The following is a 27,135-nucleotide window of genomic DNA, read 5'->3' as shown; positions in this document are numbered from 1 at the left end:
CACGAATGCAGTGGAGAGATCACTTCTGCCTAGACTTGTCAGGCATACATTGACAGAAGCTTCAAGTTTCCATGAATGAACGGGAAGCAGGAGAGAGCGCAGACAATCAGTGTCAAAGGCCCACAAAAAAGTAAGTTCAAATCATAGAACTTGGAATAGGTGCAACCAAGGGGTGGTGAGTAAACAGTAAAGAGGATTGAGAGCGTTCCTTGGCCCAAATCCAAGGTCGCCAAAGCCTTTCCCTTTTAAGTTTTCTCCATTCTGATGTTTGAACATCCACTTCTTAGACAAAAAGAAAGGCCATCCTCCCTCCTCCTATGGCACATGATCTGGCTACTTTCACTCCATTCCTTTTCACCTGCAAGTCTTCTAAGAATTGGAAAGCCCATCTACCCTTCCTAAGTATGGGAGTAACAGGTAACCACATCTAGCCAAAAAGCAATGAAGATGTTTCTCTGTTCCAGGTGCTATAGTGAAAAGAGCATGAGACGAGATGCTCTCATGGGGTGGATGGGAAATCAGACCTAAGTTTCAGTCCTGTTTTGCTTACATTACTTATATGTCAGAGTCACAGTCTTTCCATCTGTAAAATGGAGTGGTTATAATATGGTTGGTAAAAAATTAATTTAGAAAAAAAGTAAAGCCTATAGGGTGTTTAACATCACTGGCAAATAGTTGGAACCCAAATAAGAAAAAAAAATGGTTATGAAAATGAAGACAAAGAAGAAAAGGAGGAAGGGAATGAATTAAAGTAAAGGCAGAAATTCACTGGAGACTTTCTTTTTTCCTGGCAACCTTTATTTGTTGAGGGTCAAAAACAAATGATTCATAAGGAAACCAAAGGGGAAAAAATGTGTTTGCAAAGCTGATCTACCCTAAATTTCAGTCTGTCTAAATATTTTCAGTGATAGATCTCTGCAGTATTTCACAACTTGAAATTTTGAAAATTTTCATGTAATCACTTACACAGAATCAGGAAATACCCATATTAATTTAATTTCACCATTTAGTGCAAGAACCCTATTCCCTTATACTTAATGATATGGAAGTTCTTGTATGTCCCTTAAATTTTTTATTATGGGTTAAAACTGCCTCAAAAAGTAAACGTTTCATCATACATATACTGTATCAGCCAATATATCCAAACAAAACTGGTGTAGTCATTCATCCATTTACTTTTTTCATTCATTCATTCATTTGTTCATACAACCAATATTTATTGAACAATGTCTGGGTCAGGAACTGTCTTCGCTTCCAAGGCTGTAACAATGAGCAAAAGAGATGCAGGCCTTGCCCCTCCTTGGGCTTGTAGTCTAGTGGAATCACACATCACTCAGTGAGGGTACACAAGGGACCATTCACCCAACACCTGGCACACCAGACTGCATGAGGCACTTTGATGCATCCTCATTTAACCCCACAGCAGCCAAGTGAAGTAGGACTCCTATTATTCCCCCAAATTTACAAGCGAGAACCACAAAACTCAGAGCTTAAATAACTTCTCTAATATAAGCATAAGGTCAGCCCTAGCCAAAACAATTAAGGTAACTGTGATGTAGCTGATCCAAGATACTGTCTTACTCTCCTCTTACCATACACAGCCCCTGACTGGCCTTTATCTGTTCTCCTTAAATTCTGCTATATGAAGGATTATCCATTCAGCCAAATTGGTGTTCATTAAAATTTTATTCCAATAAAGAACATTCCCTAAAGTTCAGTCATTCTCAAACGAGAGCAGCATTAGAACAGTCTGGATGGTTTTATTACAACACAGCTTGCTGTGCTCCGCACCAACATTTTATCAGTAGGTCTGGGGTGGGCTCACAATATTCATTTCTAACAAGTCCCAGGGATTCTGACACTACTAGATCAGGAACCACATTTTGAAAATCACCGCCCTCAACTATTGAAAATAAGAAATTGGGCTTCTAACCCATCTAATATTAAGAATTCAAAGTCAACCATAACAAAAATCCACAAAACTCTTCTTGTAACCCACTTAAAATATGGGCACAGGGATAGCCAGAGCACATGAGAGAAGTTTGCTTGCTTAAACCATATTGCAGGTGATACAAATGAGATTCAAAAAGTTATGTGGTTATTGCTTATAGAACCAGGCTGGGCACAGTGGCTCATGCCTGTATTCCCAGCACTTTGGAAGGCCAAGGTGGGTGGATCACCAGAAGTCAGGAGTTTGAGACCAGCCTGGCCAAAATGGTGAAACCCCATCTCTACTAAAAATACAAAAAAAAAAAAAAAAAAAAAAAAAAGCCAGATGAGGTGGTGGGCACCTGTATTCCCAGCTACTTGGGAGGCTGAGGCAGGAGAATGGCTTAAACCCTGAAGGTGAGGGTTGCAGTGAGCCAAGATCGCACCACTGCACTCCAGGCTGGACAACAGAGTGAGACTCCATCTCAAAAAAAAACAAACACAAAAAGAACCAGTGACAAGGATGAGGCCTGGAGTCAAATATATATAGACCAAGTATACTGCTAACTCCTATGCCAGAACTTCCCATGTAGAGAGCAGTGAATAAATTACACATGTCAGATATTGCTCCTGTTAGTGCCCCTGATGAGGGGAAGAGAGTGGGAGACTTGGGATGATCTGGACCCCATGAAAAGCCTCTTCCAGACTAAGTCCAATTAAATCTCTTGGGCTTCTCTTCTGCTCTCCTCCAGGCCTATGGTTTGCAATATATGGGTTTGATCTAGAATGGGGCCCCCAGGAATCTGCATTTCCCCTATGTACATTGAATTCTGAGAAGAATTAGATAGTTGTTACCGCCTCAGGGAAATACTAAACATGTTCAAAACAATCCTCACTATTGTTACTCCTTAAAATCTTCTCACTAGGCACTAAATGTCTGGGTCAACATCAAAGCCCGGCAGGGAGTAACTTGCTCCATCGCTCAATTTTCCAAATGGTCAACATGCTCTGCAAATCAGACTGGTATTGGGTTAGTGGATCTTTAATCTCCTAGATGATCTGAACTAGAAAGATGGCCAGGCACAAGCCAATACTGAATTAATTTCCCTCAAAATCTGCCTTCCATAAATCCAGCCATCCCTGATTTTCAATACATGCAACCCAGCTTCATCCAGAGCATCAACCTCCCCTGAAACAGTTCTATTGCTCACTGAATCTCAATCTGTTCAGGCCTTAAGTATACACAAAGGTGAACGGAACGAAGAAAAGGGAAGATTGATCAGTACGTGTTAGAGGTTAAGAAAATTTTTCTACCCACCTCAGGTATTCATTGACCAGATACCTACCACACATGCTTGTGCTGTGCTAGAACCTGAAATCCCAAAGGAGCACAAAATCACGGTATCCACCCTCGTGGAGCTTACAGTCCAGCAAAAGCCTCTACTAATCAGCAAAGGTGGGAGGAATGATCTAATACAGAAAACAACTTTTAAAAAGTTGGAAAAAATGACATCGAAGGAATAAAATCAATGGATTTAGCATCTCCACTTTAGAAAGGAGGTACTGTGTACTTTGCCTAAACAATATACTGAATCAAATGCCCAACTTCTCCTGTCTAGATGGGATTCAGGACCACAAATTGATCAAATCACACCCTGTTTTGCCCACAAATCTCTTCCCTACAAAAAAAAACCATGATATCTAAGTAACCCCCCTCCCCCATTACTCATCCCCTCCTTTCGGTGATGCTGTTTTTCCTGATCCTTTTACAAAGACAGTTACCCCTTGGAAGATTTATTTCTTAAGCCAGGAGTTCACAGACTTAGGTAAGTGTTGAGAATTTCTTAGAGCACTTTTAAAAGTGCAGATTCCTGAGTCTTTCCTTAAAATTCTGAGCCAGTTTTCTACAATAAGATTTAGAAAATTTCATTTTTAACAAGCACTTTGTGTGTTCCACTCTTCTGAAGCCAGACACCAAGCTTCACCTACCGTGTTTCACTGATTATTCAAAATGGGAAAATTAAATCATTTCCCTAAACTTACACAGCAAGAAAATGGCAGAGTCAGGGTCCTACCAGAGCTTGCTGACCCCCAAGCCCAAGGACAGTCCACCGTTCATAAGTGGAATGCCAGAGGCAATTGAACTCAAAACTAATACGGTTTAAGGGGAAATAAAAAAGAAGTTCTGGATTCAGAGAAGGGAAAGGTGAGCAACAAAATCAGAAGCGGCTTAGAAACAGATTTTGCCAGCATCTCGATTTTGCCTAGGGCCAGTTCCACTCACGCTAAGGCCAGCAGAAGCATATCAGCATAAATAAGGTAAAGCAATTTCTATAAATGTGTCAGAAAAAAACTTGGTTTTACATGCAATTAATTGCAAAGACATTTCTTAATGGCAGCCTCCTCTTGCCTTTCCAAATTAATGAGTCAGAAAAGCACGGCTCTCACTAGCATCTTTAAAAGTGGGCAAACCCCCCCTCCTAGGCTCCCATTAAAACAGAACACAAGGACCTTCAGCTAAATACTGAAATCTCCTCCGTTTTAGAAAGTCATCTTGATGCTGTAAAAAAAAAAGTGTACAAATTTCTTCCTCGAATCCCTTTTGGTCCCAGAAGAAAAAGGGAGGTAGAGAACAAGATGAAGATGAAGATGTGTCATTTTGGGTGATGTGTTTTGCAACCTGGGGGTAGTTAACTCATTTGATAGATGGTTCTTTCTGTGAAGAAAAATGTCATTTTTACTAATGAATAAAAAGTTATGCAAGTAAAGAGGATGAGGGTAGGAAAAAAACCTAAACTATCACATGCAAGGAAGTATATTTAACAACATTTTCAAGTTCTTGCCGACTGTTTTTACTCTAGGGGTAAGTGTGTGTGTGCAGCATATGTTGGAGAGGAACTAATATTGAAATAATTTTCTTTTTATGACATCCAATCTATGAATAGACGAGGTCTGGTGTGCTCCAGCTACCCCTAAATTAAACTCCAAATTAAAGGCCAGCGTGGCTACCTGGAGGTTTGCATTCTGCAGAGCCTTGCCTTTTAAATGAACCAACAAGGGCCCACCTGTGTTTGTTACATGTCCCTTGGATAATTAATGCTGGTAATAACACCTAAGTGTTAGCACACAAAGCACCTGGAATGCGATTCGCTGTACACATTCTAATCACATCAGCCACCGAACTCTCCAAATGACCTTCTTCAAAACAATGACTGTCTTTGAAACCACAGAAGCCAACCTAGAAGGAAGCTGTATGCCAGGGTTTTGTTGTAGCTGAGCAGTTTCTAAAGCTAGAGTGTCACCAAGTGGTCAGGAATGGAAATAAGCTGCCGGTTTGTATTCACATCCTCTGGCCAGCCCCAACTCTGCCCCTGGGCAGCCGGAGAATACAGTCCATCTCCTTCGAGCAGGGCACCAAAACTGCTGGGGAGAAAACAGTGTCCCAGACGCCGCTTGCACCTTACAGGTGATTCTGAAATGCACATAAGTCCTAAGTCTTTCTACATTTTAAGAAGGCCTGTACGTTAACAAATATGAGAGACAGAAAGAGAGAGAGAGGTTGCAGTGAAGACCAGCCTATTCTACGTCATTATTTATAATATTGACATCGTCTTTTCTATTTTTAGCAGTCTGTCTGTGTCACTGTGTCCCACAAAAGATGGTGAGAAATATTGTCTCCATATTACAGGTTAGAAAGGAGGGTGGAGTGATAGGGATGACAGGGAGATGCCAGTCAGCTAACGGGATGAGGGCTCTGGCTTTGCACAGTCTCCTGTTTAACTGCTAAACCAATATCTCCTGCTGTCTGTTACCTTTTCATGTCCCCAACCGTTTTGTTTCTGTCTCACACAGTCTCTCCCTAGACCAGTGTCACAACTACATATTCTGATTTTTTTTATAGTTTTCTTGCTTTTTTCTTCCTGTTTTTCCCCCTAATGGCTTAGACTCAAATAACTTGGGTGTCTTCAAAGACCAGGTTCAGAAAGGGTTTCTCCCTCCTGTGGCTTCATATAATTATAGACATACCATTTTCCCACAATGCTGCACCATCGTTAATCACTTCAAATACAGAGAAAGCCAGGCGAGTTTTTCTGTGAACAGAGAGCTCAGGGTCCCATTTCAATTTGTGATTATATCAATAATCTCCACACTGTCTTGTGTGAACTAACCCATTATTTCTAGAGAAATTAGAAGGAAACGGCTAAAATCATATAGGCGTACCCTTGCTGACACAGGGAATATGTGTTTGTATGACATAAAATTCCAGATGACATTTGTCAGCTGCTTTGTCCTGCATTTCTAAGTGGCAAAAAGGGATTTTTGTCTTCCCTGTCATGACATTCATGTAGAGAATTGTGAGAACCTCTGTCATTAAAGGCACAAATTATCTATGGATCTCTCCCACACACAGCAGAGGCCAGTATGAATTTAAACTGCTTACAGATCAGAAGAAAAACAACAATGAATTAATTCTGATGTACTTTTTCAAAATACTGTAGTGTAATTTTCATGCTGCAGCCCCTATCCCGTGAGACCACTGGCAAATCTTGTAGCAATTTCACGGATAATCTTATGGCAGATTGGAAAGATTAGAGGCAGCAAAATTTCTAAAGAATAATTTCATAGAAAAAAAGAGCTTAACATAAATATTGTCATTTGTACTGATTATTTCTCATGAATACATCCTTAACCAAGGGATCATCAAGCATAAAATAAACACGACACTCAATCTCCAAAGAGGAAGACTTTTATTTTTCAAATGGGGATAATAAATAAGGAGAGATAACATATACTCCCATGGTCAAACAGTAGAGCCACAGGACTGCAGGAGGCAATATTGAGATACTATTTGCTTTTAAAGAAAATGTTTTCATTTGCTTAAAAAAAAGTTTGAGTACCTGCTATATACCAGGTATTAGTACAATTCTCCAGGCAGGAAACAAGACCTGTCTGCCCTCATGGAGGTTATATTCCAGCAGGAGAACTGTAGACATTTTACTGCGTAAAAACAATATACTAATATAATATTATGTGAGGTAAGGATAAATGTTATGAAACAAAATAAACCAATTAAAGAAGTACATTCAGATGAGAGGTACAGCTGTGGACAGGGTGGCTAGGGAAGACCTCTCCAAATGGATCATGAATAAAAACTAAAAGCGTAAATCTCCAGTGTCTGGTACATCATCATCCAAAAACTGGGAACTTCTTTTTTTTACTTTTATTTTAAGTTCAGGGGTACATGTGCAGGTTTGTTACACAGACAAACTTGTGTCATGGGGTTTGTGATACAGATTATTTCATCACCCCAGCATTAAGCTTAGTATCCATTTGTTATTTTTCCTGATCCTCTCCCTCCTCTCACTCTACCCTTTGATAGGCCCAGTGTTTGCATTGTTCCCCTCTATGTGTCCATGTGTTCTCATAATTTAGCTCCCACTTATATGCAAGAATATGCAGTCTTTGGTTTTCTGTTCCTGTATTAGTTTGCTAAGGATAACGGCCTCTAGCTCCATCCATGTCCTGGCAAAGGACATTATCTCATTCTTTTTTATGGCTGCATAGCATTCTATGGTGTGTGTGTGTGTGTGTGTGTGTGTGTATACATACACACAAATGAAAACATATATATACACATACATAGATATGTATATATACACACATATGTATATATATAAATAAAATGTGATATATATACACAGATATAGATATACACACAGATACATATACATATATGTCACATTTTGTTTATCCAGTCTGTCATTGATGGGCATTTAGACTGATTCCATGTCTTTGCAATTGTTAATAGTGCTACAATAAACATATGCGTGCATGTTTCTTTATAACAGAATAATTTATATTCCTTTGGGTATATACACAGTAATGGGATTGCTGGGTCAAGTGGTATTTCTGTCTTGAGGTCTTTGAGGAATTGCCACACTGTTTTTCACAATGGTTGAAGTAATTTATCCTCCCACCAACAGTGTAAAAAGCATTTCTTTCCTTCCACAACCTTGTCGGCATCTGTTGTTTTTTGACTTTTTAATAATAACCATTCTGACTGATGGGAGATGGTATCTCATTGTGGTTTTGATTTGCATTTCTCTAATGATCAGTGATGTTGAGCTTTTCTTCATATAACTGTTGGCTACATGTAGTCTTCTTTTGAAAACTGACTGTTCATGTGGCAACACTTTAAGTTATAGAACACTTTGTTTTGTCTTGTTTTCAGCTATTTATTTAGTGCTGTGGGTATATTACTACTTTAATTACTCAATTTATGACAAAATTTCTTTAAATACTCAGGATTATACCTTTCAAAGATCAATTGCCTTTTAGAGCATCTTGGGCTTTGGAGAAAACAGCTCTATTCATTTATTCAGCCAACCATCTATTATGGAACAAATAGTTATAAAGCCTCTTATTTCTGCAAGGTGCTAAGTGCCCTCTGTACTGGGAATATTGAGGTGAACAAGACAATGATATTCTTTAAAGCTTACCACAAGAAAAAAACTTTGAAAGCCCATTGGAATCATTCAACCATTCCAGAAATATTTATTAAGCACCTATTAGGTGTGGAAACACTGTGCTAGACACTGAGGGATATAGTGAACAAAATAAACAAAATCCCTGCTCATTTAATCCCTCACACTCTAGTGTCCCAAGTGAGCATCAATTCAAAAAAAGTAGATGTATAGCAACTAATGTGAGGTTGTCCTTATAACATAGAAAAGCCAAGTGTCATAAAAATATGAAGGAAAGAATAATTAATTCCAACTTGGATAATGAGATTAGAGGTGAATGTTAAAGAATGGGTAGGATTTCAAGGTACTTTCTAGGAAAGACACTTCAAAAGTTTGAGGGCAGTGGAAGTCCATTATTAGATGTCTATTTTAGGATTTAACTCTAGTAGCAGCCAATAGGAAGTGTCAAAGGGAATAAAGAGTGGGACCACCCAACAGCTGTGGATGCCTTTGATTCAATTTGGGGGAGAAGGAGATTAATCAATCATCAGGGGTGTCAGGTGCCTGTTCCTCAACTTCCTAGAATCTAGATGCTTATCTAGTGCCTTCTGCTTTGGCAAGGGAAAAGAATGAGAGTCACTATAAACAGGTCACCCTTGACATTTCACAGTGGTTGAAATTAACTGCCATGGGATAATAGCATCGAGACTTAAGCTTATAACAAATGTTACTTTCAAATCAGTTATGCAAATACAGCTTTAAGAAGGCTAATATATGTAGATTTATGACTACTTCCTTAAAGGTAATGATTTTTTTAAAACTGCACTAAATTCTGGGAGGAATTTATAATCTAAAATAAAAATAGGAGAAAAGCAAACAATGGACCTCTAAAGCTTTTTATAAACAAAGTAATGCAGTTTGTTCTACTAGAAATAATAATATAAACTCACTCACTTCTTTTCTCACATAGCACATTTTACTGAGCTTTCGCATATATCAGAAGGCAAAAGCAGCCAGCAATCTGGAGCACTGGCACATAGTAGATTTCATCTCATTTTGCATATATAGGGCTTCATGCTATGGAATTAACAACTTTTAGATTGTTCTAGTGCAACCATTGAGCTATTGCATTTGGATATGATGTATATTTTTTAATTTAAATAAATGCATTTAATATCGATTTTTTTCATCCATATTTAGTATGCCATCCAAACTACAAAATACACTGATGATTTTTTTTTAAAGCCCTTCTGGAGCTGAAAAAGTCTTCTATGATGTTATGTGATGTTTCATTTATACTTAGTACAAATTTACCCCTCTAGAATTTCACAGCTTTCTCTAGTCCAATCAATAATTATTGATAGTTTATAATATAAAAAGTTATCCTGCAGATACTAAGCAAGCACTTTACATGGTATGCTTTTTGAGATTCAATAAAGATACAGAATTAATTTATTAGATATGTGGTTACTGAATTAGCAAAGCATTGGTATACAACCAAAATAACAAATTTTATAAGAAGACATATGTACTTCTTGTTAATAAACACATTAAGCATAATCAAAGGTGAATGTGTTCAAGAGAGCCTTTCTCTGGTAGTAAAACCCTGGGTGGCAACTCCCTGGAAAGGCTTTAAGGACCTACTGCAGTGGAAAGAAGTTTTCAAAACAACTCCTCAATGACATGGGGAAAGCAACTTAAGAAGTTATTAGCAATTTTGGCTGGGTGCGGTGGCTCACTCCTGTAATCCCAGCACTTTGGGAGGCCGAGGCGGGCAGATCACCTGAGGTCAGGAGTTCGAGACCAGCCTGGCCAACATGGTGAACCCCATCTCTACTTAAAATACAAAAAATTAGCCGGGCATGGTGGTACGCACCTGCAATCCCAGCTACTCGGGGGGCTGAGGCAGGAGAATCGCTTGAACCTGGGAGGCAGAGGTTGCAGTGAGCCGAGATTGTGCCATTGCACTCCAGACTTGGGGACAAGAGCGAGACTTCGTCTCAAAAAAAAAAAAAAAAGAATTTATTAGGAATTTTTAAAAATGTTCATAATTGATGTTTATGAAATTTCACATAATCTCATTCAGATTACAGATGAGAAAACTAGCAGACAGATATATGAACACATCCACCATATCTTGTGGGTCATTGGTAAGTTTTGTTTGCTTGAGGTGGTGAATCAACAGCTGAGAGAAGAAAGACAAATGATTTAACAGTTCTGTCGGGACCATCTCTATTTTTTTTTCACCAGAGATTTAAAAAAATCAGGTTTTCAATTTAGTAAAGTATGAGAAATAATGCACACACTCTTATGTATAACTACAGCTTCGTTCTGAGTTTTATGTGAGCTCGAGTGAAAACGTATATTAAAAGGCAGAAAAGTAGCATCACATAGTACAGAGAAGCAACAACCACTTACTTTAAAATGAATCCCACAAAAAATTTATAATTTTCTGATAGATCTTCTCCTGTTATCTTCAAAGACTATCAGTGAAAGTTTATTTTCATCATTTTTAAGCAGAAAATCCTTAATCATCATCAAAAGAATTTAAATTTGAGGTACCCATCTGTTGCATCTTTTAGAGGCTCCACACACGCCTTGTAGAGAGAAACCTTGGTTTTGAACTTCAGTGATTAAACATTAGTCTCCTTTGTACAATCTGCTTATACTGTTGTTAGACAGCAAGTATTTTAATGCCAACCTTCAGTCAAGAGCCTCTTGTCCTACAAGACAGTCATTATTCAAGAAAAAATATCATCTACATTTAAAAAATGAAAGGAGTAAATCTATGCTCACACAAATGTTTTATGTTGTATTTTTTTATCTCCAATTCAGAGGCTTTGTAATCACCATAATTGTGAACTTTTTTCCTCTCTGAAATAATAAAGAGACCACTTAATTATCATCTTATGGTCATTTTGCTTGCTACATGCAGATTGCAAAATCCAATGACAACTCTAATGAAAAGCATTTCTTCATGGCCACAACCCTTTTATACCTGAACTATAGCTTTCAGAAGATGATTATATGGTTGCTGCAAGAAGGTCACCACACAAGGCCAAAGTCACAATCCAAATGCCTGAATTCCTCCCAAGCACCTAACTAACACGTTGCAGAATGAATGGCTTCGAAGGATGGAGTGGCTTATAAAAGAGACCATTTTTAAACACCTATTAATATTTCGAAAAGACTATTTTAGATAAACAAAACTGTACAATGAGATTAAAATAATACACTGACTTTATACAATGTTAACCAGCTTTGTAGCTTGAATTAAGAATAATAGTAAAAAGAGATGAAACTAATATTTTACATTAATTTTCACCAAAGTAAACGAAATAATGGTTAGATAGGAGAACCTGGGAAGAATGCGGAATTCTCATCAATTTGCTGTAAACGACAGCATATGTTGTGTTTTATTTTGAATTCTCTGATAAATGGATGTTTATCCTGGGATCAATGGCTCTGGGTGAATGGCAGATTGCAGCAGCAATTGCTTTCTTACCAAGAGAATTATCTTAAATCAGATCTCCTTTGTTTGATGAAACCTAAATTACAGGGGGAATATTTAAACATCTAAGGAGAAAATCCATAGATAAGCTAACACATGACTCCAAGATGCATTTAGCAGAACTAATTGTCTCTATTATTCTTTTATTCTAGAAGCTACAGATAGAATGTACAAGTCAAATAGCAAAATACTCTATCATTACACCTTCCCTGAAACGGAAAAGTAGGCCACTCAAAAAGTATATTTACTTCAAGTGATGTGGGAGGGCTAGGGCAAATTAGACAATTATGTCTATGGTGAGTCCGGCTAAATAACTGGATTAAAAATAAAAACTCGTTCCCTGAGCTATGTTATTTTTCTGTGAGACTAAGCGAACCGTGGAAGCTACCTCTACTGTATATGACCTGTGTGACTTACCATACCCTGGGACGAAGAAGGCTCTCGATTCTGTAAGTGACCACATCTTCACAGCCCTCATGAAATCAGTGGAAAAAATAATCACAGCTAAGAGCCCTGTCCGTCAGGGAAGACATTCATATGTTTGAATCCTACATCTGCTCCACTCACTAGATGTATAATTTCAGGCTAAGTATCAAACCTTTCTTTTATTTGTTTAGATAAATTTGAAGTGTCTATTTGTGGTTTATAACAAGGTATTATGGGATACTTATAGATAGTAAAATGGTTACAGTGGTGAAGCATATTAACATATCTGCCATCTCCCACAGTTCCTTTTTGTGTGTATGACAAGAGCAGCTGAAATCTACTTATTTAACAAAAATCCCTAGGACAATACAATTTTATGAGCTTTAGTCCTCATATTGTATATTAGATATCCACATTTGTTCATCCTACATATCTGCTATTTTGTATCCTTTGACATCTATCTCCTTTCTAAAGCCCCTTTTCCTAAGTGGTTACCTAGGGAATGATAAAAATATGTATGTGTGTATATATAACCAAAAAGCTGTCCCGCCTCCATATTCTTTTGTCTTACACTTCTCAACTCACTGCCGCACAAGTTTGTTGCTTTCCCACCCCCACTAAAACATCCCTCCTTGAGTTAATTCTCATCACTCAGCCCAAAGGCTGTTTCCACAGACCCCATTGTTCCAGTATGATGCTGCCGCAGCATCTAAGATGTTGGCCATTCCTCACTTCTTGAAACATCTTCTTCCTCTGTACACAGAGAGAAAGGCAGACACATTTACAGAAAAGAAGCCACCATGGTCTGATACACAGTAGCTGCCTGGCTCTTAGAACCCGATTTCCAGCCTTCCTGACTTTTGGGTTCTGGGTCACTGTCATGAGTCCCTACTGTGAATTTCCCTTTGGTGCACCTTAAAACATCAGAAACTCTACGCACATGAAAGGCCGAACCACCTTAAAATCAATTTTACATCTCTCTCGTCAATATCCAGAATTGGGTACCTTTCCCACTTTGATTTCTTAAACTTTGGTCGCAGACAAGCACACAACACATGCATTTACTGGGCAGGGAGAAGCAATGAAAAGAAACGTGAAAGTTCATGGCTCAATATGATTCATTCGTAGCCCCTTCTCCAATTAAGTGGCCTCCCTGGAGGTTTCTCCCAGGTCAGGTGTTGGAAAGGTTTCCTTGAATTTAGAGGAAGCTAACTTAGGACTGCCCCTTGCCTGAGATATTCCTTCGTCCCTTAAGGGACTTATTTAAAATAAATAGTCAAGGTTTTGTCGCTTTGCCACAGCCTTCCCTATCATGAGCTGAGGTCGGACAAATAGCTCATGTCCCCAACATACAGCTAAGGATGAAATGGCTCCTTCGAGGAATCACTAAATCACACAATCCGCTTGGCAAAGGACAAATGGAGTTTGCCGTTTGCCATCAGCTCAAACAGGTATCAACAGGTCTTGGAATCAAGCCTCTTATGTTTCTGCTTTGCTTAAGGCCCTTCTCACTGCCCCTTGAAGAGGTCACTCCATCTTTCCCGCAGCCTGGCAGCGCCAGGTGGGGAGAGTCAGTGCTATATTACTAAGAATGCTCCGTGACTGTCAGTGCCTCGTTTGCTAAGACAAAGACTGACAAATTACACTCCTTACATTAATTTTCAAGTACATTTTGAAAGCGCATGCCTCTGATGAAGTATTTTGAATAGTGCTGTGGATGTCAAGGAGACATTTAAAATATCTCACTCATAATTTTTGAAAATCTTCCTCATTCCAAGTTGTCACAGCTTGACAGCTTAGCTCTGTTTTGAGTATATTCTTTTACAATGTACTACAAACTGATTGAAGAGCTGACAAATCTGACTTAACCCAAACAAGAATCTTTAAATATATCTGATTAAAAAGAATGTTTAATGAAAATGCACATACAGACATTCCATCTAGCATCCTATTTTTTTAGAAGTCAAATTACACAATTAAAATCTCTATTGAAAATACACCTCTATCCCCCCCCACCAGAAAAAAATCACTATCTATTGAGACAAAATGCTAAAGTTATTAGCTATCACTGTTATTGAATATTCAATTATCTTTTTTGTCTAGGAAAAATCTAGAATTTTATCTCCTGCATGTATCTTCTCAAAGAGTTTAATATAATTATTGTCCAACTTATCCATCCTTTTGAATCTAATGATTGATCCTGGCTTCTAAAAACAACTTATAAGAAGGAGAGTAAAGCATTGAAATAAGGTTATTATAATTCTTCTCTAACCCAGGCTGGATAAATAACCTTATGATTATTAAATAGAGAAAAGAAAAAGGAACAAAAGAGATCCATAACTGGACAAAGGGAGATAAAGTAATCATGTAATGCAAGAAGTAACCATGAGTTAAGGTTTTTAATGCAATGGGAATTCTACCCAAACATCCCTACCTTAAGCAAGGCAAGCCCATAAAATTCCACTGATCTTAGCAACACAAAGGAGAGAAGCTTTTCTGAAGAAACAGTCAAAAGTTTACTCCCAAAGTGTTTTGTGTTTTTTGTTTTTGCTAAAAATACATTAGTCCCCTGCATCCTTTCTTGCATTAGGATTATGTGACTAAGAAGAAGTAGAAAAATAATCAGCCATAACATAAGGCAAAAGTTTCTGCCAGAGAGAAGTATGAAGCAGAGAACCTTTCCAGCACTGGGAGGAAATGAAGGAATAAAGGAAAAAAAAGAGCAGGATAGAAACATCGTGGCAATCCACCACCTCTGAGGGAGAAAAAGGCACAGAAACACCCAGATAGTTTCATAGGAATCTGAGGCCATTGTGAGTGGGTACCCCATTTTCCTGAGTGTATCCAAGAGGCTGGGAGCATCTCAGAGAAGCTCAAGTGTTCAGCGTGGCATCATATCCCACATGGCATGAAAGTGATAGAGCAACACCATGCTCTCTGGGCCTGGCAGATATTTCACCCAGGTACTTTGTGAGGATTTCAGAGCTTCCCTCCTCTCTGAGCTTGCCAGGAACAGCTCCAATGACATGGACAAGCCTTCCTCAGCTTGGTTCTCCGGTGGCCCACTCTGCACAGACTGTCACTACTGGAAGCTCTTCCCTTTCTCTTCAGTAGAACCTAAATTAATTCAGGGACAAGTCTAACATTAATGTGGCCCACATTTGGTCCATGGAAAATGTGCATTATCTGCTGGGCTATTGTGGACATGTAGTTGTTTCCTAAATGCAGTTTTCTAGCAACTCTCTTCATCTTTACTCAGGTTTCTTTAATTCTCGCTGACATAAGTGAAGCCCCACAATTCACAGTAGCACCAGCTGTAAGCTCTCCTAGAAGTTTCATGCAGGCCCCAACTCTTAATTAGACCTAAAGCTAGGAGTAGAGAATTCCTTGCCCAAAGTGCTTGGAGGACTAGGGAGAAATTGGACTGCCCTGCTACAATGCAGGTGAGAAAGAAGAATATATCTAGAATACGCAAGATCTCTTAGAGCATCTGTTAGTGTTACCACATCCTGGATTATACCAATGGAAAACTATAACAATTCAATTCAGGCAGGACTCCTAATGGCCCAGAACCTTCGGGAATTAAGATTTAGAACACCCAACCAGGTAAAGAAGTATGACCAGCTAAGATACTTGCTGAGGGCAAAGAGAATATGGAATGAGCCGTGGAAGAAGGTAGTTATAAATACCTGCTACAGCCACATGACCAGTTACAAAGATAAGGACCTGTAATTATCATAATATCATGAATACTTCTTCCTTAATTTGTTATGAATATGTGTATATGCATGTGTATATCTCCCTTCTCTTATCCCCTTATCACATAACATAGACATATTGACTTTATATCATAGAATGTAATTATTGTTAACTTTACACCATAGTATTCAAGTTATGGAATATCAAGAAGAGTAAACATCATTAAAGGACTTTGCATCATCTTATTTGGAAATGGTTAGTGCATTTTTGTTGTACTCAGGATAGTTGTACAATGTTAGGTGGAAGTATGACCTTGTAATTGTCTTTGGGAGCTAAGTATGATTTTAAAAGATGCATATGGGTGCCAAGTAAACAAGGGGAGAGGTTATGCTGGCACTTGTCATGGTACCCACTTATTGGGTCAAACATTCTTCTGGATGTTTCTGTAAAGGTGTTTCTTGAATGAGAATAACATTTAAATCAGTGGAGCCTAAGTAAATTAATTTGCCTTCCATAATGTGGGTGGGCCCCATCCAGTTAGATGAAGGCCTGAATAGAAAAAATATCTGACCTCCCACAAGAGAAAATTCTCCATAAGACTGACTTGGGCCTCATCTGCAACATTGGCTCTTCCTGGTTTTCCAGGAATTGATTTTGGAATTGAACTACAACTCCTTCCTGAGTCTCCAGCTTGCTGGCCTCCCCCACCAGATTTTAGACTCACTCCACTATCCACAGTCACATGAGCCAATTTCTTAAAATAAATATCTGTATACACACATAGATCCTATTGGTCCTGTTTCTCTGGAGAACCCTGGTTCACAGGTTTAGCACCACATTATCTAAAGAAAGTCTTCCATATGTATACATGTGCCATGCTGGTGTGCTGCACCCACTAACTCGTCATCTAGCCTTAGGTATATCTCCCAATGCTATCCCTCCCCGCTCCCCCCACCCCACCACAGTCCCCAGTGTGATATTCCCCTTCATGTGTCCATGTGATCTCATTGTTCAATTCCCACCTATGAGTGAGAATATGCGGTGTTTGGTTTTTTGTTCTTGCGATAGTTTACTGAGAATGATGATTTCCAATTTCATCCATGTCCCTACAAAGGACATGAACTCATCATTTTTTATGGCTGCATAGTATTCCATGGTGTATATGTGCCACATTTTCTTAATCCAGTCTATCATCGTTGGACATTTGGGTTGGTTCCAAGTCTTTGCTATTGTGAATAATGCTGCAATAAACATACGTGTGCATGTGTCTTTATAACAGCATGATTTATAGTCATTTGGGTATATACCCAGTAATGGGATGGCTGGGTCAAATGGTATTTCTAGTTCTAGATCCCTGAGGAATCGCCACACTGACTTCCACAATGGTTGAACTAGTTTACAGTCCCACCAACAGTGTAAAAGTGTTCCTATTTCTCCACATCCTCTCCAGCACCTGTTGTTTCCTGACTTTTTAATGATTGCCATTCTAACTGGTGTGAGATGATATCTCATAGTGGTTTTGATTTGCATTTCTCTGATGGCCAGTGCACAATGTGCACATGTACCCTAAAACTTAAAGTATAATAAAAAGAAAAAAAAAAAAGAAATGCGACAGGCACTAAAGACTGTTGATATTGATGGTAAGTTTTATCTTTTCAGTATTAGTTTAAGGGTCTGCAATCATAAATATATTATGTTTGTCAGATTAATTACAAATGATAGGAAAGCTAAACCTTAAAATATATTGTAAAAACATCATTTTTGGTCATATTGTATGTTACAAAACATTTTTACATGTTACAAGAACATTACTTACAATAATGATATTGAAAATTGGCCTCAGGTTTATGTAATTGGATTGATTAATTACTAGACTGGATTATGGCATATTCTCATTATTGTTCCACGCATGGTCTAATCTTATTTAGTTACGTAATTTAAATAATGTAATAAATACTTGACCCAACCACCCAAAATAAAAAGTAGGACCTTGTCAATAATTTACATCCAACTGTAAACTTTCCTAAGCAACCTATTATTCTGTTTTCCCCAACCTGAGGTAAGAATTATCTTGAATCCTATATTCATTATTCTCTTATTTTTCTGTTTAAATAGTATTATTGTTATGGATAGGTATTTTTGTAAAATAGTTCAAAAATTTTAGTTGTTTAAAAAACTTTAGTAAACAGTTTTTCATGATGTATATAATCTTTTGTTTTTTTCCCTTAATATTATATGACTAAGATTTATTCATATTGTTGTATACTGCTTTTTTTGTATGCTCTTGCTCTTGCCACCCTTGAATTGATCAGCCTTTAAAAATTATGGTTGTTCTAATAGATATACGGTTATTCTCTGATTGTGGTTTTAATTTGCATTTCCTGAATGATTAAATAATGTTGAATATCTAAAAAAAAAAAAAAAGAAAGAAAGTCTTCCCCCAAATGCTCTCCTCTCAGTATTCTGACCCCTTTCCACCACACTGATTTGATTGAAGGGTTCTTCTCTCCCAAATCAGCTGCATTTTAATCTTGGTTAAGGTGCATCAGTTACATATTTTTACCTTTGAAATTTTTTACAGCAACATTCTGTCATAGATACTAATAGGAGCAGAGGACTGGAGAAGTGCTTAGGACAATGAGACCTCAGAGAGTAAGGACCTCACAAGAAGAGACAAGGACAAGGTCTGCAGTGATCTGCGGCAGGTGCTGACATACCCGGGATCCAGACCAGCAATTCACACGCCATCGGAATCAGCCAGGACAAAACATCCTTGAAAGTGAGTGTCAACTCTGAACTGACTGTATTTGTACCTACAAGAGATAATTTTAAACTAGAGTTTAAACATAACTGGAAAGCTTTACTTCTTTTTTCTTCCACTAGAAGAAATAGGTAAAACAAAAATATGGGAGCAATATGAAATTAGTTTTGGAAAACAAAGAAAGTATAGTAGCCCATTTTCATGCTGCTAATAAAGACATACCCGAGACTGGGCAATTTACAAAAGAAAGACGTTTATTGGACTTACAGTTTCACATGGCTGGGGAGGCTGCACAATCATGGTGGAAGACAAGGAGGAGCAAGTCCCATTTTACATGGAAGGCAGCAGGCAAAAAGAGAGCTTGTGCAGAGAAACTCCTGTTTATAACATTATCAGATCTTCCCATTCACTATCATGAGAATAGCACAGGAAAGCCCCACCCCATGATTCAATCTTCTTTCACTGGGTCCCTCCCATAGCACGTGGTAATTATGGGAGCTACAAGATGAGATTTGGGTGGGAACACAGAGCCAAACCACATTAGAAAGATACATGCTTATTCACATCTAAGTCATAATAAGAATTCTAGCTCTTCTGATATTATTTCATGGAGAGAATTTTGAGTGCAGGCTAACTGACAATTCTTGGCTGTAAAAAATTATCCACAATCTAAGTTAATCATGAGTACATTGTGGTTTCATATTGAATGTGGAAAAGCATGGAATACAAAGAGATAATCAGCCCCCCAAGGTGAAGGGGGACCAAAGGAATAAGAGCTACAAATTGATCTGCACTTGGACATTTCCATTAGCCTCTTCTAGAATTATCCAGAAATGTCTAAATCCTTGGAGAGGACAAATCATAAGGAAATTCCAGAACTATAATGTAGTCATAACTATTCTTACTGTAGTAGGTGACTATATATAACATGCATAAATGTATATACTTATAAAATATTCATTGTATTTTCCTGAGGTAAAAGAGATAGGTCATAACATTCATCTCTTTCCAGACATTAATAGTCCCAAATAATGATGGGCACTGAAAGTTGACATTTTCAACACTTTCATCTTTTAAGCAACCAGGACTAACAGCATAGCACAGTAGTTAAAAAACACATATTCTGGAGGTTTCAAATCACAGTTCTTTCATCTGTTAGTAGTAAAACACTGGAAAAATCATGTAACCTCTCTGTGTCTCTTTTCCTAATGTGCAAATTGGGGATAATAGTACCTACCCCAGAGGGGTGGTTATAATGATTAATGAAGAGACTTAATACCTATCAAGCTCTTAGAATAATGCCTGGAACATGGTGAGCTCTACATAAAGATTTGTTAAATAAAACAAATATACTAATACACATTTAAAATCATAATAATAAATTATGTAAGTTGTTATTTGTTTTATTTAGATAAAATATATTTTGGATGAAATGTGTATGTACGCCAACAAATATATAAATTCAAGTTTGGTTAACTACATATTTCATTCATTTTTGTTCTCAACCAATCTTTTATTCTTCTCTTTATTATATTCAAAAAGAAGAGGAAAACCCAGTTGCAATTATTATTTTAAAGTTCCTTAAATCAAGTGAGTCAACCTAAGAACAAATAAAATTGAGGTTTTAGTACATTATTAGGAGTTTAGAGATAGAGATAGCAGTATAATAAAAGAAATATTAGACTGTGAGGGTATTAAATTGATATTTAAAAAGAAAAGAAGGGAACAAAGAAATATCAATATTTTATAGAGAAAATATAAAAATGCAGTAGAGCTTTGAAATTCAAATTGACATCACTTTCATCTAAATAGGATTTTCCCATTTGGCTAAAATTTAGAGTATTTGTAAAGGAAAATTTTTAAAATTCTAGGTTTATAATCAAGCAACATTTAGGCCAATTTTCTATCTATTACAATCAATGAAAATTGATAAATTAGAAAGATTTGCTTGATACACTTTAAGATTTTTAATTAAAAGTTGATCTTATTAGGTTTAATATATTGTTTTCAATGTCAGGAGAGTGAACTTAGACATTATTAAAGATTTTCAGAGTTGAATAAAAAAAGGAAGAGAATGCCTAACCCTCAGCTAATATACAAAAAAATTATTATGTATAATACTCTAGTCTTCCAGTATTCGAGTTTATCCAAGTTCTATCACTAAGTCCTGATTTCCTGTTTGATATATTGTTTACCACACCTACAGTTCTAATTTTTTATGCTGGCAAAATCATTTGAAATGCATATAATTTGGCAATGTGCTTGTTAAGAAAGAAATATTTCTGCAAGTAGTAATACAAAAAAAATAATCACTCAAGGACATACTCACAATAAAAATTCCCAAAGAGTCAGCAGCTTAGATCTTTTTGTGGGGAAAGCGTCTGGTTTTCCATACAAGCAAACCCAGAACTGAGAAATAGGGAAGTAAATTTAATATAATGGCCACCCACCAAATGCATTTAACATATGGTAGACTAGGTTATGCATGAACAGATTACACTGCCAACCTGACTTTAGGGAGCTGGAGTTTATGGTCATTACCACTTGTAAGATTTGATATTTCTCACAGTTATTTACACAAATAGCACCTCACATCATTAAATCCTTATCACTACCGCCACTCTCTGCCTCTGGCTGCACAAAATGCTTAAAGAAAGAAATGGGATTTTGGAGCTTCATCTTCAGGAGACTGGGAGGTTACAGTTTTCTTTCTTGGAAAGAGACTGAGAATCTCTTAGACATTTGTCTTCAGTTTCTCTCATCTGTCTTTTGTCCAAAAAAGGTCATTGTCTGCTCCTCAGGGGAAGCATCATGCCAAGTTGCTGCTTTGAGACATATACACATATAAATTCTCTCTTATAATCGAAGTAGAGGCAACCTGGATCATAAGTGCTCAGAAAATATTTTCCCATCTGTTTCTACCTTCAATCTCAAAAAGGTTTTCTTGTACCTAGACAATAGCCACACCATTGCTCTATCTTGGTATCATGTCCACGGGCTTGGCAAAGGACAGTTTTGATAACAAGGGTAAGTAGTATTTTCTGTTTTTTCTCTTCAGTTTATATGATAAGAGAAAATCAAATATTAAAATGGGACAGAATAGCCTAAGTAAAAAGATTAGACTCTGAAATCAGTATGGGTTTGATTTTATATAAAATGTTTAATCTCATTTCCTCCTCTGTCAAATTGGATAGCAATAGTACTTCTCAGGTTGTGCTTTGAATATTAAATGAGATCCATTTGATCAATCACTCTTATACTTCTTGAGGGCCTACTCTGTGCAGACTTTTCTAGATGCTGAGGATGACACAGTGAGGAAGGCTGACAAAATCTCCACATCATGGAGCTTGCATTATTACTGTGGAGCCAAACAGATAAACAAACATATGTGCACTTCATAGTTCAGCAGTGCAGAGAATCCTGCAAGGAGAGAAAACTGGGTGAAAGGCCAGAGGCAAACAAGTGCAATTGAGGAGTAAGGCGGTCAAGGAAGGCCTCATTTGGGACATTAATTTGAATGGAGACTTATTAAAGTAACAGAGCAAACATGCACATATCTGGAAGAAGAAAATTCTAGACAGAAAATTCAAAGTGTGTGAGCTAGCAATATGCCTGGGGTCTTCAAGATACCATGAGGAGTTGTCGTGGCTAATGTGGGAGGGCAGAGGGAAATGAGATCTGAGAAGTAAGAGGAAAGGAGTGGAGGCAAATCACGAAAAGCCTGGCACAGACTATTCAATGAGGAGTCTATTATTAACACATTTTATCCCTGTATCAAAACAGATTGGGATTCGATGGTTTCCCTTAATACTGTCAACAAGTACTCTTTCGGAGAAACACTTGTTGAAGAGGCCCCATCAATCTCCCACAACGCTGTCAGTGCAGTATCTGGGTTCCCATTGACCCTGAGCATTTGGTAAATGGCAAGTGCTTTTCCTCTACACAAGGTCCTGTTCATCCTAATGAAGATGCATCATTGGCACTTGCTTCCTGTAAGACTGGGAAAGAGCAGTGGAACTAAAAGCCCCCATCCAGATGGAGTAGCTCAACAGAACATCTGCCTTGCCTATATGTCACCTGCCTACCTCCTGCTGCTAGGCTAGCTGCCAGGGATTGCAGCAGCTCCTGACTCAAGGGTCCTCCTCTTCTGGTGCTTGCTTGGAGCTTTGAGTGATTATCTGCACCACCGTTCCCAAAAGCATCATGCCATCTTTCTTAAAAGTGCAGGAAGAACCTGTTGGAGATCTGAGTCCTTTAAAGAACTGCACTATTATTTGATCTTTAAATTGGGATCCATTAGACCATAGCCTTGCTTGCAAACTTCATATCAGCTGGCATTAGGCAGCTAATACATTGCATTGATTACATAGATGACCTATTCTGGTCCATATGACATAGAAAGGAGACAGCAATGAACAACACATTCATTTTTCTCCATCTCCTCTATCACTGCTCTAGAACAAACCACCCTCATCTCTTGCCTGGATTATCAGGATTATCACAATTGCCTCCTAACTCATCTAGTCCAAACCATCTTAGTCACAACCATTACTTGCCTGATTATTACTAATATAAAGTAGCCTCCTAACTTGCCTATTTCTTTTCCAGCTCCTCTTCCCCCAATTGATTTTCCACATTTGGGAGCATGGAGTGATATTTTTGAAACCAAATTCTGAGCATCTGAGTTTTGTCTAAAACCTTTCTTTGGCTTTTCAAAGCTCTTAGAGATTATCCATTAGCGATAGATCAAGATTCCTTTTGGCACACTTAAGGCAACTCATGATCTAGACTTTGCCTACCTCATACCTGGCAACACTCTCTCATTTGCTCTCTATACTAAGAGTCCTATTGGTCTCTTTTTTCTTTTCCCCCAACATACTGCAATCCAGCTTAGGTTTTTGTTTGTTTTGTTTTGTTTTGTTTTTTTGTTTTTTGTTTTAAATACTGTTACCTCCAACTGGAAATTCTTCTCAATCTCATCTCACTTCACTAACTAAACTATCACTCTTCATATCCCAACTCAACAGTTTTTGGGGGTACCTTCCCAGTGCTCCCCAGACTATTCCACCACTTTCTAGTCTACTATATTGCTCTTTCTACTTTAATTTTGAAGTCTCTGTAATTACATGTCACCATGATCATTTTAAAAACCTACCACCCTCCACTAGGCTGTATTCCCTAGGAAGCCAAAGATTGTGTTTGCTTTTCTCCCCACTTGAAACCCAGTGCTTTGTGGTTCCAAAACTAATGATTATTCCACTGCTTTCTGAACATATTTGTCAAAGAATAAATGACCATTTAAATCTAAAAGGCTCTCAACATAAAGACTGCTTCTAAAGTCTATGCCACTCAATTCATTTTATATAGTAGAAATAACAATATCCATATCTTCCAACATGAGTTTGAGCCAAGAACTAAACTAAGAGCTGAGGGATCCATAATACATGTTTTGAGTAACACTTTACAAAACTGAAGACTTTCTTTCTATTTTTTTCTTCTCATTGAAGGTATATCCAAAAACCTCAATTCTGAACTTAAGCAGCAAGGTAAAAATGAAACTGGCCGACCTTCTGCTTATCTGATCTTACGCAATTTGTTTGGTGAAAGTGAACATATACTTGCTTACTTCTGATAGGTCCTACCTGTATTCCTGTGTCCCAATTCCAGAAGCAGTCTTGCCCTGTCACCCAGACTATAGTGAAGTGGTGAGATCATAGTTCACTGCAGCCTCAAACTCCTGGGTTTGAGGAATTCTCCCACCTCAGCCTCCCAAGTAGCTTGGGACTACAGGCACATGCCACCATGCCCAACTAATTTTTCATTTTTTATTTTTTTTTTAGAGATGGAGTCTTGCTTTGTTATCCAAGCTGGTCTTGATCTCTTGGCCTCAAGCAATTCTCCTGCCTAGGCCTCCTGAGTAGCTGGGATTACAGGCAAAAATCACCATGCACAATCCAATTCCATATTTTCAGTGGCATAAAAAGACAAAGCCTTGTCTATTACAACATCATCTCTTCCTTTCAAAAACAAACAATTTCCATGAGACTTTAATAAGACTAGCTTAAACTCCTGAGCTTTTTTTAAAAAAAAGCATTTATGTATACTTGAGGAAAAAGAAGAGTGTCACTAATCTAACTCAATTATAAATTCCTATGAAATGTAACAAGCAGGAGGAGGAGAAAGACAGAAAGATAGAAATATAAAACAACATTGTAAAAGAGGAGAAATTAAGTCTTTGAACTAGGGATTCTGTGCAAAAATTATGTTATTCTAATATAGATACAGGAAAATGTAATAGTATTTATATATATAAACTACCCCTACAACTAACTACTAAATTGACAAGAACTTAAAGCACATAAAAATGATAAATATTTGATATTCAGACATCACAATATTAAAATTCTGTTAAATGGTGGGCAACAACATTATTTCTTTCATACAGGCAGCAAATATTTATGGATCATCTACTATATGTCAGATACTGGGATCCACCATTTAAAAAGGCCTAAGACCTCTGCTTCCACAAAATTTAGATATTAATAGGTAAAGATACCAATAAGAAATAATTGTAATCAATACATTATATAATTTGTTAGAAAATGATAAATGCTATGAAAAAGAAAATGGAAAGAGGCATTATGAGTACAGGGATAGGAGACTGTAATCTAAACAGATGGAGCTAGTGGGCCTCATTAGGAAGGTGACATTTGAGTAAAGTTTGAAAGATGTGAGATAGCTGGCTATGTAAATATTTGGGGGAAGTACTTTTCAGGTAAAGGTCAAGATTTTATCCGTTATATTCCAAAAACTGTAAAGATATGTGTGTGGCTGATGTGAAGTGAGGAAAGAAATTCACAAAAGTACTAAGGAGCCAGTTCATATTTTCTATTTATTTATTTTTTTTAGAGAGAGAGACAGGGTCTCTCTATGTTGACCAAGCTGGTCTCAAACTCCCGGGCTCAAGCGATCCTCCTGCCTCCACCTCCCAAAGTGCTGGGATTACAGGCGTGAGCCACCATGCCTGGCCCCAGATGGTATATTTGCATTTCCCTCTTGGTTAATATTGTTGAATATCTTTTCTTGTGCCAGTTGTATACACTCTGCAGAAATATCTGTCAAGTCTTTGCCACTTTTATAATTAGTTTGTTTTATCTACTGTTGAGTTTTGAGTTCTTTATATATTTTGGATACAAGTCCTTTGTTGGACATCTGGTTTGCAAATATATACTACCAGTCTGTAGTTTATCTTTCCATTCTGTAAATAGTGTCTACCGTGAAGCAAAGTTTTTTAATTTTGATGAAGTCTAATTTATCAACTTCTTTTATGGACCATGTTTTCAGAGTTTCATCTAAGAACTCTTTGTTTAACCCCAGGTCATGAAGGTTTTCTTCTAAAAGTTTTATAATTTTACAATTGGATCTATGATTAATTCTGAATTAATCATAGATGAACCTCAATATCATCCTCATATATATAAAACATAGATTTAATTGTAAAATTGTGAAATTAGATCTATGATTCATTCATAGAGGTTCATTTTTTACAAATGGATATCTGATAGTTCCAGCACTGTTGAAATGACTATACTTTCTCCATTGAGTTACTTATGCATCTTTGTAAAAACCAAATGGCACCCATACAATGGAATATTATTTAGCAATGAAAAGAAATGATCTATCAAGCAATGAAACAATATGAATAAATCTTAAATGCATATTTCTAAGTAAAAGAAACCAATCTGAAAATGTTACATGAGTCTAATTCCAATCATATGGCATTCTGGAAAAGGCAAAACTACAGTGATCAGTGGTTACCAGGGGTTCAGCAAGGAGGGGTTGACTTGTTTTGCACAGCACAGATTTTAGGGTGGTAAAACTATTCTGTATGATACATAATTGTTGATACGGAACACTATGCATCTATCAAAACCCATGAACTTTACAGCACTTTACAGTGTAGTTATATATGCAAGTTTTAAAAGTTTATTTGGTAGGTCACAGGATTCCTGAATGGAATGCAGAATGTAACAAAGGAATCTAACTGTACTACAGACATACAAAACAACTTCTCTGAAGGGGTGTGGGAAAATGTGCTAACCTGAGTACCTTTGGAAATGAGTGCAGGCTGTAAAATTAAAGGTAAACGAAATTGTATGTAAGACCTATGCTCTAGTCAAAAAAGTTATTTTCCACATGAGTATGAGATAACAATTCAGCTACACATACTGAAATTAAACAAGGAAAGAGATGGTGTGTGATCAAAGCCACATTGCTCACTGTTGGAGCGGGAGTTTATATAGATAAGCTAGGGAAGGAGCTAGAGTAATCCATATGGTAACAGA

The 27,135-nt window shown here is 37.4% G+C and overlaps 1 annotated feature.

Moving 5' to 3' along the window:
• Positions 5,122-5,171: an enhancer, noted in NCBI's record as "active region_23582". NCBI's record gives its function as "activates an Ori minimal core promoter by ATAC-STARR-seq in GM12878 lymphoblastoid cells {active_cell/tissue: GM12878}" and the evidence as "EXISTENCE:reporter gene assay evidence [ECO:0000049][PMID:35858748]".

Source organism: Homo sapiens, chromosome 5, assembly GCF_000001405.40.
Source record: "Homo sapiens chromosome 5, GRCh38.p14 Primary Assembly".
NCBI lineage: Eukaryota > Metazoa > Chordata > Mammalia > Primates > Hominidae > Homo > Homo sapiens.
Note: the sequence above shows the minus strand (reverse complement) of the source record. Positions and strands in the feature narration are given on the sequence as shown.